General features: G+C 55.2%; 1 protein-coding gene across 3 annotated transcripts in view, besides 3 other annotated features; it reads left to right on the top strand.

Annotated features, from left to right (window-relative positions):
* Positions 374-453: a silencer, noted in NCBI's record as "silent region_8682". NCBI's record gives its function as "represses an Ori minimal core promoter by ATAC-STARR-seq in GM12878 lymphoblastoid cells {active_cell/tissue: GM12878}" and the evidence as "EXISTENCE:reporter gene assay evidence [ECO:0000049][PMID:35858748]".
* SAMD14 (sterile alpha motif domain containing 14) overlaps positions 469-13,308 on the top strand; it is a 20,121-nt gene continuing 7,281 nt past the window's right edge. For 2 of the 3 annotated variants that reach the window (NM_001257359.2, NM_174920.4), the window contains exons 1-4: positions 469-1,112; positions 5,658-5,712; positions 12,302-12,468; positions 12,934-13,222. In NM_001257359.2, the coding sequence (NP_001244288.1) occupies positions 5,670-5,712; positions 12,302-12,468; positions 12,934-13,222 (499 nt within the window). In that variant the 5' untranslated portion in view covers positions 469-1,112; positions 5,658-5,669. Of the gene's footprint in view, positions 1,113-5,657; positions 5,713-6,238; positions 6,546-12,301; positions 12,469-12,933; positions 13,223-13,308 lie in introns of those variants that run through there. The other variant, XM_017024322.3, reaches the window with a different exon arrangement.
* Positions 694-753: a silencer, noted in NCBI's record as "silent region_8681". NCBI's record gives its function as "represses an Ori minimal core promoter by ATAC-STARR-seq in GM12878 lymphoblastoid cells {active_cell/tissue: GM12878}" and the evidence as "EXISTENCE:reporter gene assay evidence [ECO:0000049][PMID:35858748]".
* Positions 13,095-13,308: part of a silencer, noted in NCBI's record as "silent region_8680", that runs on past the window's edge. NCBI's record gives its function as "represses an Ori minimal core promoter by ATAC-STARR-seq in GM12878 lymphoblastoid cells {active_cell/tissue: GM12878}" and the evidence as "EXISTENCE:reporter gene assay evidence [ECO:0000049][PMID:35858748]".

Below are 13,308 nucleotides of genomic sequence, written 5' to 3'. Positions count from 1 at the left end.
CCTGCACCTCCCCAGCTTCAATTTATCTTCCCCTCTTGCCCTCCCACCCCCAACACCCCCTGGCACTTCCCTACCCTGGCCCGCAGTTGTAGCCAACACATCACATCCTCTGGGAATCCCCCAGCCCAGCTCCCGCCGCGGCCGCCTGGACCCAGGCCGGGCCAGGGGTGCGCTCTCCCTTCCGGCAAGAAGTGCCCTCTGTTAGCTGGGCCCATGGCGCCCAGGCTCGTGAGGGCCTCCCCACTCGTCTGAGCCCCCGACTGGCCCACTGGCCTTGAGCGCAGTTAGGGGGCGGGGGTTCTGTTCACCGCTGTCCCCTCCAGCCTCGGCGCCCCGGCTGCTCGGCGGACGTTTGTTGAATGAATGAACTAATCGGGAGCCCTGATGGACCCGGCAGAGGAGGCGGAAGCCCCGTGGGTCCCGTGGCGGGACCGCCCCGGAGCCGCTCCCACCCGCGCAGACTCCGGTGCGCCGCGTCTCCCGCGGGCAGAGAAGTAGCTGCAACTCCGCTCCCCGGCCCCAGCCGCCTCCTCCCCGCCGCCCTCCCCCGCCCCCGCCCCCTCGCTCCCTCCCGCTCTTTGTCTCCTGGGCGCCCGGCTTCTCCGCCACGCGCCCCCCACCCCGACGCCCCTTCCCCGGAGACCCCCGCGGACCCCTGCCGACGCGACGCCGCGCGAATCGGCCCTGCCAGGCGGGGGCCCCGCGTCCGGCCAGGCCTGGCGGGCGGCAGGGGCGGGGAGGGAGGTGGCGCTCGCTCTTCGCTCTTCTCTCTCTCTCTCTCTCTGTCACACACACACACACGCACACGCACACGCACACACACACGGAGCATCCTCCCGTCAGGTCTCCTGGTCCAGCCCCGCCCGCGCCTCCTGCTTCCAGCGAACCTGTTCCCTCTCCCCACATCCCCCGCCCTCCATCTCCCCCGGCTCTGGGACCCTTCCCGCCGACCTCACCCCCACCCCCGGGATGGAGCGGCTCGAGCCCGCCCGGAGCCCCCCGCGGCCGGGGTGACGGTCCCCCCACCCCTCTCCTGCCCGGCCCCCGCCTCGAGCACCATGGGCCTGAGGGGTTCCCGGGGCGCCAGACGCTGAAGATGACCGATGCCGGAGGTGAGGGGCCGGGCGCCCTGGGGTGGACCGGGAACTGGGGCTAGGGCCACTCGGGCCCGCGGTGGGACCCTGAGTGGGGTTGGGCAGGGCTAAGCGACAAGGGCCTTTCTTCCCCTATCCCTAGGGGGACCGCACGGGGCTGGGGTGCCGGGCTGTCAGGGGAGGGGGCGGAGATAGGATTTATGGCCCTAATCCCCTCCCTCCCGCCCGACGCCCGGAGAAATTAATAAAAAGCTGGTGTGGGGGGAGGGGGAGAGGGCTTAACTCTTTCTTGCCCGGCGGGGAGTTGTGCTGATGGTTTGGAGAGAAACTAGCCACCGGGCTCTGACTGGGGAGAAGGGCTCTGAGAGTGGAGTAGGTGCCCTGTCCCCAACCTCACCCCATCTCCAACAGTGCTTTGAGGGGGTGCCCGACTCCTGAGGACTACCCCAAGCCTGGGGCCAGTGGACGGCCGGCGATATGGGAAGGGGGGACCACCTCTCTGGCTCCACAACTGCCTCCCCGACCGCTAGTCTCCTTTCCCATCCACCTCTTCCCGGCCTCTCCCAGTTGCACTTCTCTCTGTCGCTTTCTCCTCTTCAGGGGCCCTTTCCTATCGCCTGCCCGAAGGGCTTCTCCCTTCTCTCCCACCCTCGGGCGTCACTTAGAGCGGCGGAAGCCCTTGTTCCCAGTGCCAGTTCCCGTGGCCCCACTCTCGGTGTGATCTCTTTCTTCTCAGCAGCCCTGTGGACTCTCCGCCAGTTTGTGTGTCTGTCTCTGCTTCTTCCTACTCCTCACTTCCTTCCGCTCCCGCTCCCGCTCCCTCCCCAGGAATTGTGCGCCCTTTCTTCCTTTCTCCTTCTCCTGGGTCCCAAGAGGCTGTGAGCTCACCTGCCTCCCTTTCTCCCAGAGAAGGGTCAAAGGTCATTGGTGCTCCTTCTCCAGGATTGGAAGCCTTGGGGGGAAGGGTATCCAGAGGAACCGGTTCAATCCCACCCTTGTGCAGTTACCTGGCTGAATGGGGGTGTGTGTGTGTGTGTGTGTGTGTGTGTGTGAGAGAGTGTGCGGGGTGTGTGTGGGAGTGAGAGTGGGGGCGGGTTTGGTGTCTAATTTTTCTAGGCTCAGTTTTGGAAGGAGAGGGTTGGGTGGGAGGGGTCTGGTGACCCCCTGGACACAATGTAGGGAGGGTCCCCCTACACACCCCAGAAAGTTAGTTGTTGAAGGGAAGAAAAGAGAGCAGTTTGTGCTGAATCAGGATGGACCGAGAATGGCTTTGAGCAGGAAACCCCAATCCAGCCCAGAGGGTGCCTGGAAGAGGAGGACTCCAGCCAGCAGAGGATCTCGACCCTGGAATGGGCTCTTGAATAAAGAACACAGGATCTTCATTCTCAGAGGCAGAAAGGAGACAACACTACTGCCCTCAGAGAGCCTCCATTCTGATGGGAGAGGCAGTTCCTGTCTTCACAGTCCCTAGTCTGACGGAAGAATACGTGGACCCTTTCTTCTCTGGGCTCCCATCTGATTGGTGGGGGGGAGATGAGACCTATTTAAGGAATCAGTGAAGTATGAAGAATTCCCCATTTCCCAGTAGTTGGAGAAGGGTGGATTTAGAAATTACGAAGACAAATGAGAGGAGGGAGGGCTACCTAGGACAGCTTCCTGAAGGAGGTGGCAGCTGGGTCCTAGCCAGATAAGGCTTTGTGGTTGAATCAGGAAATGTGGTTAATTCTTAGGGTCAGCCTTCCTTCCCATCTGGCCTGTCAGGACAGGAAGAAATGTTCTAGATCTTTGCTAGTAGCCCCTGGAGTTCAAGAATGGCAGGAGGGTTCTCGGAGAGTCTGCTTCCCTGATGACCCCTTCCCACACCTCATTTTCTGCTTTCAGCCCCAGGCATTTATGGAATCTGGAGGTGGTTTTGTTTTTTGTTTTTTTTTTTGAGACAGAGTTTTGCGCTTGTTGCCCAGGCTGGAGTGCAATGGCACGATCTCGGCTCACTGCAACCTCCGGCTCCCAGCTTCAAGCGATTCTCCTGCCTCTGTCTCCCGAGTAGCTGGGATTACAGGAATGTGCCACCACACCCGGCTAATTTTGTATTTTTAGTAGAGACAGTTTTTTCCATGTTGGTCAGGCTGGTCTCAAACTCCCGACCTCAGGTGATCTGCCCGCCTCGGCCTCCCAAAGTGCTGGGATTACAGGCGTGAGGCACTGCGCCCAGCCTAGAGGTGGTTTTGATGCTTCTCCCAGTCCTGGTCAGTGTGGAGCAGCTTCCCTCCCTCTATGCTTATCTCTTCCTCCACCCCTAAACTGAAGATCATCACCTAGGATAGCGCAGAGGGGCAGGAGCCCTGGCTCAAGGCTGAGTTCTGCCTCTTTTATTATTATTATTATTATTGCTTTTATTTATTTATTTACTTATTTACTTAATTTTTTTTTTTTTGAGATGGAGTCTCCCTCTTGTCACCCAGGCTGGAGTGCAATGGCATGATGTCGGCTCACTGCAACCTCCACCTCTCAGGTTCAAGTGATTCTCCTGCCTCAGCCTCCTGAGTAGCTGGGATTACAGGTGTGCACCACCACACCCAACTAATTTTTGTGTTTTTAGTAGAGACGGGGTTTCACCATGTTGGCCAGGTTGGTCTCAAACTCCTGACCTCAGGTGATCTGCCCGCCTCGGCCTCCCAAAGTGCTGGGATTACAGGCGTGAGCTATCACGCCCAGCTACTTACTTATTTTTGAGATGAGGGTCTCACTATGTTGCCCAGGCTGGTCTAGAATTCCTGGGCTCAAGTGATCCTCCCACCTCAGTCTCCTGAGTAGCTAGGATTATAAGCATGCACCAACTTTGCCTGGCTTCCTCTCATCTCCTGTTTCTCAGTTTTCACATCTGTAAAGTGGCGATATGTATCTGTAAAGTGGGGATATGAAAATTCCCAGGCCAGGCGCGGTGGCTCACGCCTGTAATCCCAACACTTTGGGAGGCCGAGGCGGGTGGATCACGAGGTCAGGAGATCAAGACCATCCTGGCTAACATGGTGAAACCCTGTCTCTACTAAAAATACAAAAAAATTAGCCAGGCGTGGTGGTGGGCGACTGTAGTCCCAGCTACTCGGGAGGCTGAGGCAGGAGAATGGCGTGGACCCGGGAGGCAGAGCTTGCAGTGAGCCAAGATAGCGCCACTGCACTCCAGCCTGGGTGACAGAGTGAGACTCCGTCTCAAAAAAAAAAAAAAAAATTCCCAAGGCTGGCCACAGTAAAGGTAGATGATGTCTATGTAATAACAGAAAAGAAGAGTTGGAAAAGACCCCAGCAGGCATGTGGCCTAGCCTTCCTACATCTGACACATGTATGATCTAGCTCAGTGCCTTGCCATTCTCCTGGGGACCTGAGTGTTAGAAGTAATTGGAGGTCATGTCTCAGCCATGCAGCGTCCCCTTGCCTTAAACCATCAATGGCCCCTGGGCTTCCTCACTCTCCCCCCAGCCAGTATCCCCTGGCCAGTGGGCTCCCTAGGGCTACTGGAATCCTACATCTGCTTGAAAGCCTATTCAAATGGTTTCAGCTATATATATCCTTCCCTATCTGCCCTCCCTTCTTGCTTCCCACCAAAAAACCTTGAACCAAAACAAAAAAAACCCTACCCATTCACACTTCTTCCCAGAACATAGTTGCATCATAGAGGTTTGGCTGTCCATTGTGTGCTGTGTGTATTCCTCGTACCCTCCTACATCTATGAGTCTGTCAAGAACTGTGAGAACTGTGTCTGGAACAGTGGCCCTGCTGATGGTGCCAGCTTCCTGAACAGCTCTTGTTCAGAAAGGCAGGTGGTGAGGGCACCAGTGATGGGGGTGTAGGGAAGGGGGAGGCAGGATTGGAAAAGAGATGGAGAATTGATGGATGCAAAGATAGGTGGATGGACAGATGGCGGCAGGTGTTGGGTGCATGGGAGCAGATGTGGGATGGACGGATGGGTGGATAGATGGGTGAGTGAATGGATGATGAGTAGGCAAGTAGATAGGTGGATGAGTGCATAGGTGGGTAGACGGATGGTAGAACCTGGGTCCTGGTCCTGATTTTGCCATTAACTTGCTATGTGATCTTGGGCCAATCACTCCCCCTTCTGTTTCTTCATTTGTAACATGAGAGGATTGGATTTAATAATCTCCATGACTTCTCCCAGATTTGATTGGACAGTTGATGATTGAAAGCTTTTAGGGGATGCTAATGATGCGAAGGCCCAAGACAGTGAAGGGGAGAAGTTCAGTGACCCACGTGAAGGCACACAGCAAATCAGTGGACCAGGATACCAGGACCACAGGGCTCAGCCTGTGTCTGTGCCTTGGTTTTGCGTCTGCCCCCACCCTCCTACTATACTGCCTGCCCCGGCGCCCACCATCTGGGTTATGATTCCAGTGGCTTCTCTTCCAGGGGACAGAAGAAGGGTTCTAAGGTAAGGGGAGGGGCCAACAGGCCTGGAGCAGGTAGCCTTCCACATCTCTTCTGCCTCGGTCAGCCTGAATCTCTAACCCAGGCTCTCTTTTTCTTTCTCTCCCCTCTTGTCCTTCCCAGCTCTCTTGAGTCATGGCTTCTTCAAAGCTCCGAGAACCCGTGGATGAAGTTTTTGGTAAGTTCTGTGTGGCTCTATCTCTAGCCAATAGACACAGCCATAGAGTACTTCCTTCCTGGGCCACCAGGCATTGAAGGGGATAGGGTGCTTCTTGGCAGCTTCAGAGTGTGTGTGTGTGTGTGTGTGTGTGTGTGTGTGTGTGCGCGCGCGCGTGCACGCGTGCAGGTATTGTGGCCTGACCCTTTGTCACCACTATCTTAGTGGACACACCAGTTATAACAATAAGGGTCTCCATTTATTAAGTGCTTCTCTTATGCCAGATACTAGGTTAAGCACCCCCATCTCACATGCACTGTATTAGTTAACCCTTACAATAATGTAAGCCCAGTTTACAGACCAGGAGTGTAGGGTACAGAGGGCTGAAGTGACTTGCTTTCAAGATCACATTGCAAGTTAGTGGCAGGGCTGGGACTAGAACCCCAAACTGCCAGACTTCCTGCTCTTAGTGACTATCCTATACATCTGTAAACTCCAGCCCAGATGACACACGTTACCTCCAAGTCACATAAATAAGTGCAAGGGACCTCACCCTGCTTGGATGTGTGCTGAAATCAAATGCATAACATACACAGCCTCAATACCCCCAGGCTGGCCCCCTCATGCTGGCCTGCACGCCCACGTCCTCAGTACACACTGGGGTGCATGCACACACCACGGTACCATCATTTACCCCCTGCAATCTTCTCTTGTGTGGACTGGAGAAAGAAACCACCCCAGCTGGGCAGAGTTCCCAGCATGCACTGGGGCGGAAAGCCGGTTTCCCAGCGGGATTCCGGTGGAGGAGTCAGGAGGAGTCCTGAGCAAAGGAACTTGGAGGAATGAGGGAGAGGGTGAGAGCGGCCTGCTCCTCGAGGGGCTCCTATGCCAGAGGGTCCCCAGCTTCTCCTCATCTCTCCCTTCTTCCCTCTCTCCCCTGGTCATGCCAGGAACTGCTGCTTCCCATCCCAGTCTCCTCCAGCTCCCCTAGCCTTGAACTGCCTCAGGGCCTCAATCTCAGTGTCTGTCCCTACTCAGGCCTGACTTAAGCCCAGGCCTGACGGAAACGAGCTCTCCCTTCCCTGGGCTTTTCTGCCCCTACTCCCCAACCTCCCTACCCTCTACTCCCCACACCAACCCCTGCCTGTTTTCCTCACTGCTGAGGTAGCTGCGTCCTCACTGCTTCCTGATGTGAAAGGCCATTAAATATTTATGAATTCCCACTGCCCAGGGCTGGGAGGAGCAGGAAGAGGGGGAGGAGGATAGGGAAGGAGGGCAGGAACAGAGAAGAGGGAAGAGATAGAAGCTGGAGGGAGAGCCTCATAGAGCAGAGGACCCAGGACAGGCTGGCCCACCTTGCCTCAAAACCACCAAGCCCCTTAGGAGTCCCCTTGCTCCCCAGCCCCTCCAAGGTAAGATGGCCATGGTGCTGATATGGCCCAGAGTCAGGAGCAAGGGACCCCTCTCCCTGTTTTGAGTTGGCTGGGCACCAGCTAGGTGCCAGAAGGGTAGAGGATGCCAGATCCCTGGCCTGGGAGCCACTCTCCTTAACTCCCTCTGTCCCCTTGGCCAAAGGTGTCCTCCTGTCCTCCTTGAGCCTCAGTTTTCCCATCCATACAATGAGAGGTTGGACTCAAAATTCCTTCCCATCTCTGCTTCAGAGAGGGTGTAGCATGCTTAATGCTTACCAACAGAGCTAGACCGTCTGTCTGTAACCCTGACCGGCTCCTCACCAGCTTTATGCCCTCGGGCAAATTAAGGCTGCCCTGGGGATTCCTGGAGTCCCTTCTTTGTAGGGCTGTGGGGAGGCTCAAATGAGATAGTAATTGTAAAGCACTTAGAACAGTGCCTAGCACAGTAAGAGCTCAATAAGGATTAGCTCTTATTTTTCTGTGGTTCAGCCTTCAATCCTTGCTGCTGCTTCCAGGCAGTGCCTGGAGATTCTGTGTCAGGGGGCTGGGAACAGAGGGCTCCCTCCCCCAGCTCAGCCCCAGGGGCTGGAAACACCAGCAGGTTGCCCCCTGGACAACTGCAATCTCCTCTCGGTGTCCACCCTCCCATTTCAACCAGACCCTTCCTTCCCCTCGCAGGCTGTGCTGGCCCCCTCGCTGCTCCCCAGATGCTCCAAGCCCAAGGCTGCACCATTCTCTCTCCTTAGAATGCTCTTTTTGTTCCTTCTGCAACCTCGGCTCTTTATGGTTACCCAGACCTCAGCCTGGCTGCCATATTTAAAGAAGTAGCCTCCCAGTCTCCCCGTCTTTTCATCCATTCGACAAATATTTATAGAGCTCCTAATATGCATCAGGCTCTGTCCTTGGCTCTGGGGAGACAGCAAAGAACAAGCCAGACAAAATCACTGTCCTCATGGAGCTCAAATTTTCGTGCAGGGGCAAGTAGGGGGACAGATGATCAAAGCACACACAAATAAACAAGGAACATACTAGACGGTGGGGAGTGCTGGGCAGAGGATTGAAATGTGGACGTGATGGGATGTGGGCATGGGCATGGAGGTGACCTTCATCAGCACCCGTGTGTGTCTGGAGTCCATCTCCGCCAAAGCATGCACTAGTCCATGGAAGTGTGACTTTGCTTCAACACTTCCTGAACACCTGCTCCTTGTCAGGTGCCACACCAGGCTCTCATGATACACAGTGGACAGGGAAGGGTTTCACCCTCTGCAGGTTGCAGGCCAGCATGAGGAGACAGTCATTGGCGACCATATCCCGACCGTATCGTGACCATATGGTAGTGTGGTGCGGCTGTCAGACGGTGCTGTGTCAGAATTGATCAGCCGGACAAAGAAGGGCTGGAGAGAGATGGAGCATAGGGATGGAGGTGGGAAGTGAGGTAGAGGCAGGTACACATATAGGTATCAGTATAAGCAATTCAGTTGATCCCACAGACGCCATCACCAGCGAGCGCCTGTTGAGCTCGTACTAAGTCATAGCATTATGGCAAAGTACTGTATATGGATTATTTTATTTGATGCTCACAACCACCCTATAAGGAAGATAGTGCTAGTATAATCCCATTTTACACATGAGAAAGCTGACACCTAAAAGGAAGTAACTTGCCCAGAGTCACCCAGCCGGCAAATGATAGAACTGGCTTCAGCCTGGCCATCTGGGCCAGGGCCAGTGCTCTTAGCCATAGTCATGTAAGAGGAGGAATCTGTTGGGAACACAGAAAGGGTGGGCTGGGCCCCTCAGGCCTTGAATAGAGAGCTGAATAGCATGGACTTTATATTGTTAGCTTTGGGACCCCTTCTGCGAGAGTTTCAAAAGCAGGAGAGTATGGGACATGGTCAGAAATGTGCTTCAGGCCGGGCGCGATGGCCCACACCAGTAATCCCAGCACTCTGGGAGGCCAAGGCGGGCAGATCACTTGAGGCCAGGAGTTCAAGACCAGCCTGACCAACATGGCGAAACCCCATCTCTACTAAAAATACAAAAGTTAGCCAGGTGTGGTGGCACACACCTGTAGTCCCAGCTACTTGGGAGGCTGAGCCAGGAGAATCGATTGAGCCTGGGAGGTGGAGGTTGCAGTGAGCTAAGATCATGCCACTGCACTCTAGCCTGGGTGGCAGAGCAAGATTCTGTCTCCACAAGAAAAAAAAAAAAGAAAGGTGCTTCAGAAAGTTTCTTCTAGTCACATGGAAGGTACGAGGAGGAGCCAGACAGGAGGCAGGGAGCGAAGGAGGGATAGTTGCATGTTTTGGGGTGGCAGGGGGTGGGAGGTGGGGGCAGCTCCCCTCCACTCAGGTGAAGGCCTGAGCTAAGGCAGTTCGGTCCAGAGGAGAGGAGAGCCCAGGTTCCATGGGTGTGAGGAGGCCAATCAACAGAACATTTTTCTTTCATTAAAAGGGTGTGCTAAGCACCTACTGTGTGCCAGGCACTGTTCTCTGCCTGTGGTAGAGCAGTGAACAAAGCAGAAACCTGTCCTCATGGAGCTGACATTCTAATGGGTGGAGAAAGACCATAAATGATATAAGCAAAATATATAGCATGCCAGAGAATGAGAAATGATATAGGAAAAAAACAGGAGTGGAGTTTTGGAGTGGGGGGGCTATTATAAATTGGGTGGTCAGGGAAGGCCTCAGTGAGAGAAAGCATTTAAGCGAAGACTTGAAGGAAGTGAGGGAGAGAACCACGCAGAAATCTGTGGAAAGAGCCTTGCAGAAAAAGGGCAGAGGAGGTGCAAAGGCCCTGCAATGCAGGCTGGCTTGTGTGAGGATGAGCCAGGCGGCCAGGATGGTTGGAGTGGAGGGACAGGAGTAGTGCTCAGACAGGCAAGGGAGCATAGGCTGACTCTGGAAGGCCACTGGGAGAACTTTGACTCTTAATCTGCATAAGATGGAAGTCACTGGAGGGTTCTGAACAGGGGAGTGATATAAACTGACACGTTTGATCAGGATCACTCTGGCTGCTGTGTTGAAAATAGACTAGATGGGAAAGGGAGACGGAAGGAAGACCAGCTAGGAGGCTGTTTGTAATAATCCAGGCTAAAAGATGATGGCAGTTTAGACCTTCTGGTCTAAGAGACTGTGAATTCTCCCTCTCACTTCCCTCCCTTTCCTCCCATCCTCTCCCCTCTTTTTCTTTCCTCTCCTCTCCTCTCCCTTCCTCTGCTCTCCTCCCTTTCTCTCCATATGTACGCATGTATAGGAGTATGTGTATACATTCGCATACACAAACAATAATTTATTAAGGAAAATCTCAAACAGATTCAAAATTAGAGATTACAGCAAAGTGTAGTCTATCATGCACTCAAGAACTCATTACCCAGCCTCAACAATGACCTAGTCATAGCCAGTCTAGTTTCATATCTATCCCATCCACGCCCTCCCCCTATTGCCCTGGATTATGTGGAACCTAGTCCAAAACATCATATCCCTTCACCGTAAATATTTCAGTATGTCTAGCTATTTTTTGAAAGTAGAGCTAACAGGAATTGTGGATGAATCCGTTTGTAGGATGGTAGGGAAAGCAGTGAAGAATGACTCCAGGGGTTCAGCTGAGCAACTAGAAGAATGGAGCTACTGTTCACCAAGACTGGGAGGAGCAGCTCTGGGGTGGGAGAGATCAGGAGATTGCAGCACCTGTAGGCTGAAGACCCCTGGTGGACATCAAAGTGGAGGTGTCAACTAGACAGTTGGACATGAATTACCAACTGGGTCTGGGGCTGAGAGAGAAGAAGGGTAGCTTAGGGCTGTCTGACTCGGGCGACTTGGGTGGACAAGGGGGCTTTTCACTGAGTCAAGGAAGAGAGTAGAAGCTGGTTTGAGGTTACATGATCGGTTCATTTTGATGAGTTGAGCTTGAGACACCTTGGGGTCTTTGACGTGGTAACTTCCTTGGCAGGTGCCTGAGTGCCCACACTCAGAATTCAGGGGAGGGTGTCAAGGCTGGAAATAGAAATAGGTGGTAGTTAAGCCAGGAGAGCAACTGGGGTGGCTTAGGGGTTGTCTACAGAACGAAACAGGAGCAGACAAGGCAGGGTGGGCATGAGTGACAGAATAGGGCCCCTGAGATCATGCTGGGTGGAGTGGGGAGGAAAAGTCTTGACCCATCTTGAAGCCTGGGAAGACTCTTTCTGTTTGGAGACCCCAGTGCCAAGCTCAGCACTGGTACAGCATGAGGGCTTCATTCCGAGGTGCAGCACGTGACAAGTGGAGCTATGAGCAATAAGGACTTTAACGCTGGACCCACTGGGTCTGCCCACTCTTCCTCCATGTCCTCATGCAAGATCTAGCACAGGGCCACAGACCCAGGACAGAAGAGAGGTTTCGGGGACTATGGGGCTTTCCTTCCTGCCACTGCCAGTGGATTCTGGGGGTGTCCCTTTGCTCCACTCCAACTGCAAGCCCTCTAGATGCTCAGCAGTGCTATCTCTGAGTGAGACCCTGCGCGTGGCACAGCAAGCCAGTGTCCCCAGTAGGGCCAGTCTCTAGAGCCAGCCTAGCCAGGCTCAAATCCTGGACCATTGCTAGCTGGTGGCTTTAGTCAAGTGACTTAACCTCTCTGAGTTTTAGTTTGCTCAGCTGTAAAGTATGCATAGTAACTGTCCTAACCCCACCGGGTTGTTTTGAGTGAGAGATGATGTATGTACACTGTCTGGTGTGTAGTAAGTGTTTCTTAAATGGTGGCCATTATTTCCATCATCTCTCCAGCCTCATCCCTCAACCCTTCTCTCCACAAAGCTACCCTCCAACTGTCCCTGGAGGTACCACCCTTGTTTCCCTACTTCCTAGCATTGCATATACCTGTTTTGCCCACCTCATCTCTTACAGACTCCTACCCAGACGTTAAAACCCAGCTTTGGTGTTTCCTCCTCTGATGCATCCAAACAGGGCTGCCGTTCCTCCGTGTCTACAGGAGGGTTCATCACACGGCGCTGTATTTTAGCGCCGGCATTTCTGCTTCCCCTGCACACCCGCCCACTCCCACCTGAGACGGGGAGACACCCTGTTTTTCATCTGTCTGTGCTCCCAGCACTCAAGAACACGGGTTGAATGCCTGGGGTGTGGGTGCAGGTGGCCCCTGAGGTGGGCCTCTGGGCTTGCCGTCACCTCTCATGTGTCTGGTCTCTGCTCCCCTCCCCCGGTTCGCAGACCTGGACTTGGCTGTGCCAGAGACGGCCAGACTGGACAGCAGTTTACACAAGGCCCGGGCCCAACTGTTGGCCAAGGGCCGGAGACACCGGCCATCCCGCTCCAGGCTTCGGGACAGTGCCAGCTCCGCGGAGGATGGTGAAGGCTCGGATGGGCCCGGAGGCAAGGTTGGGGCAAGTTAGGAAAACACATATACACCCTCCCACCCCTCCCTCTCCTCCCACCCCTGGATAATCTCTCCAGAGTGCTCTTCCAGGGAAACCACATCCCCAGACTCCTGACCTAGTAATGCTGCCAAGTGTTAGCTGCAGTTCACTTCTGGCTCATTTAATCCTGTGTAAAGAAGATATTATTAGCCCCATTTTACAGCTGAGGAAACTGAGGCCCTGAGAGGTCCAGGAGCAAAGTCACAGTAAGTGAAGGAGGGGGAATTCAGCCCCAGCCTGTGTGACTCAAAGTTCCTGTTTCCCACCTCTCACTCTCCAGCCACCCCGCTGCCTAAGGCATGAGGAAACCCTCCCTCTAGGCCCCGGAAGGACCCTCAGGGCCCGCAGTTTACAGGGTGAAAGTCTCCCAGCTCCTCCGGGAAGGGAGGAGGAGGGTTCTCGGTGAGCGGCTGCCCCCTCGTCCAGGTGACCGATGGCTGCGGGAGCCCCCTGCACCGGCTGCGCTCGCCTTTGCACTCAGGCCCGGGGTCCCCGGCCGGGGGCTCTTTCTGCCTGGATCCTCCGGGGTTGCGGCGCAGCCTGGACGAGGACGAGCCGCCGCCCTCGCCGCTCACACGCTACCGGCCCCTGCACAACGCTGCGTCGCACGAGGGCCTGGCCGCCGCCTCCTGCTCTCCGCCGCGCTCCGCGCCCTCCTCCGACAGCTCCCCCAGCTTCGTGCGCCGCCACCCGCGCGCAGAGCCGCACAGCGAAGGTGAGAGGCGGCCAGCGCCGCACCTCCTGCTGGTCGCTCCCGGGCGCAGCAGCCCTCCCGGTCCCGGCGCGCACCGCAGCCGCGGA

This window comes from Homo sapiens, chromosome 17, assembly GCF_000001405.40.
Source record: "Homo sapiens chromosome 17, GRCh38.p14 Primary Assembly".
NCBI classification, from domain to species: domain Eukaryota; kingdom Metazoa; phylum Chordata; class Mammalia; order Primates; family Hominidae; genus Homo; species Homo sapiens.
The sequence above is the reverse complement of the archived record's forward strand: the minus strand, read 5'-3'. Positions and strand labels throughout refer to the sequence as shown.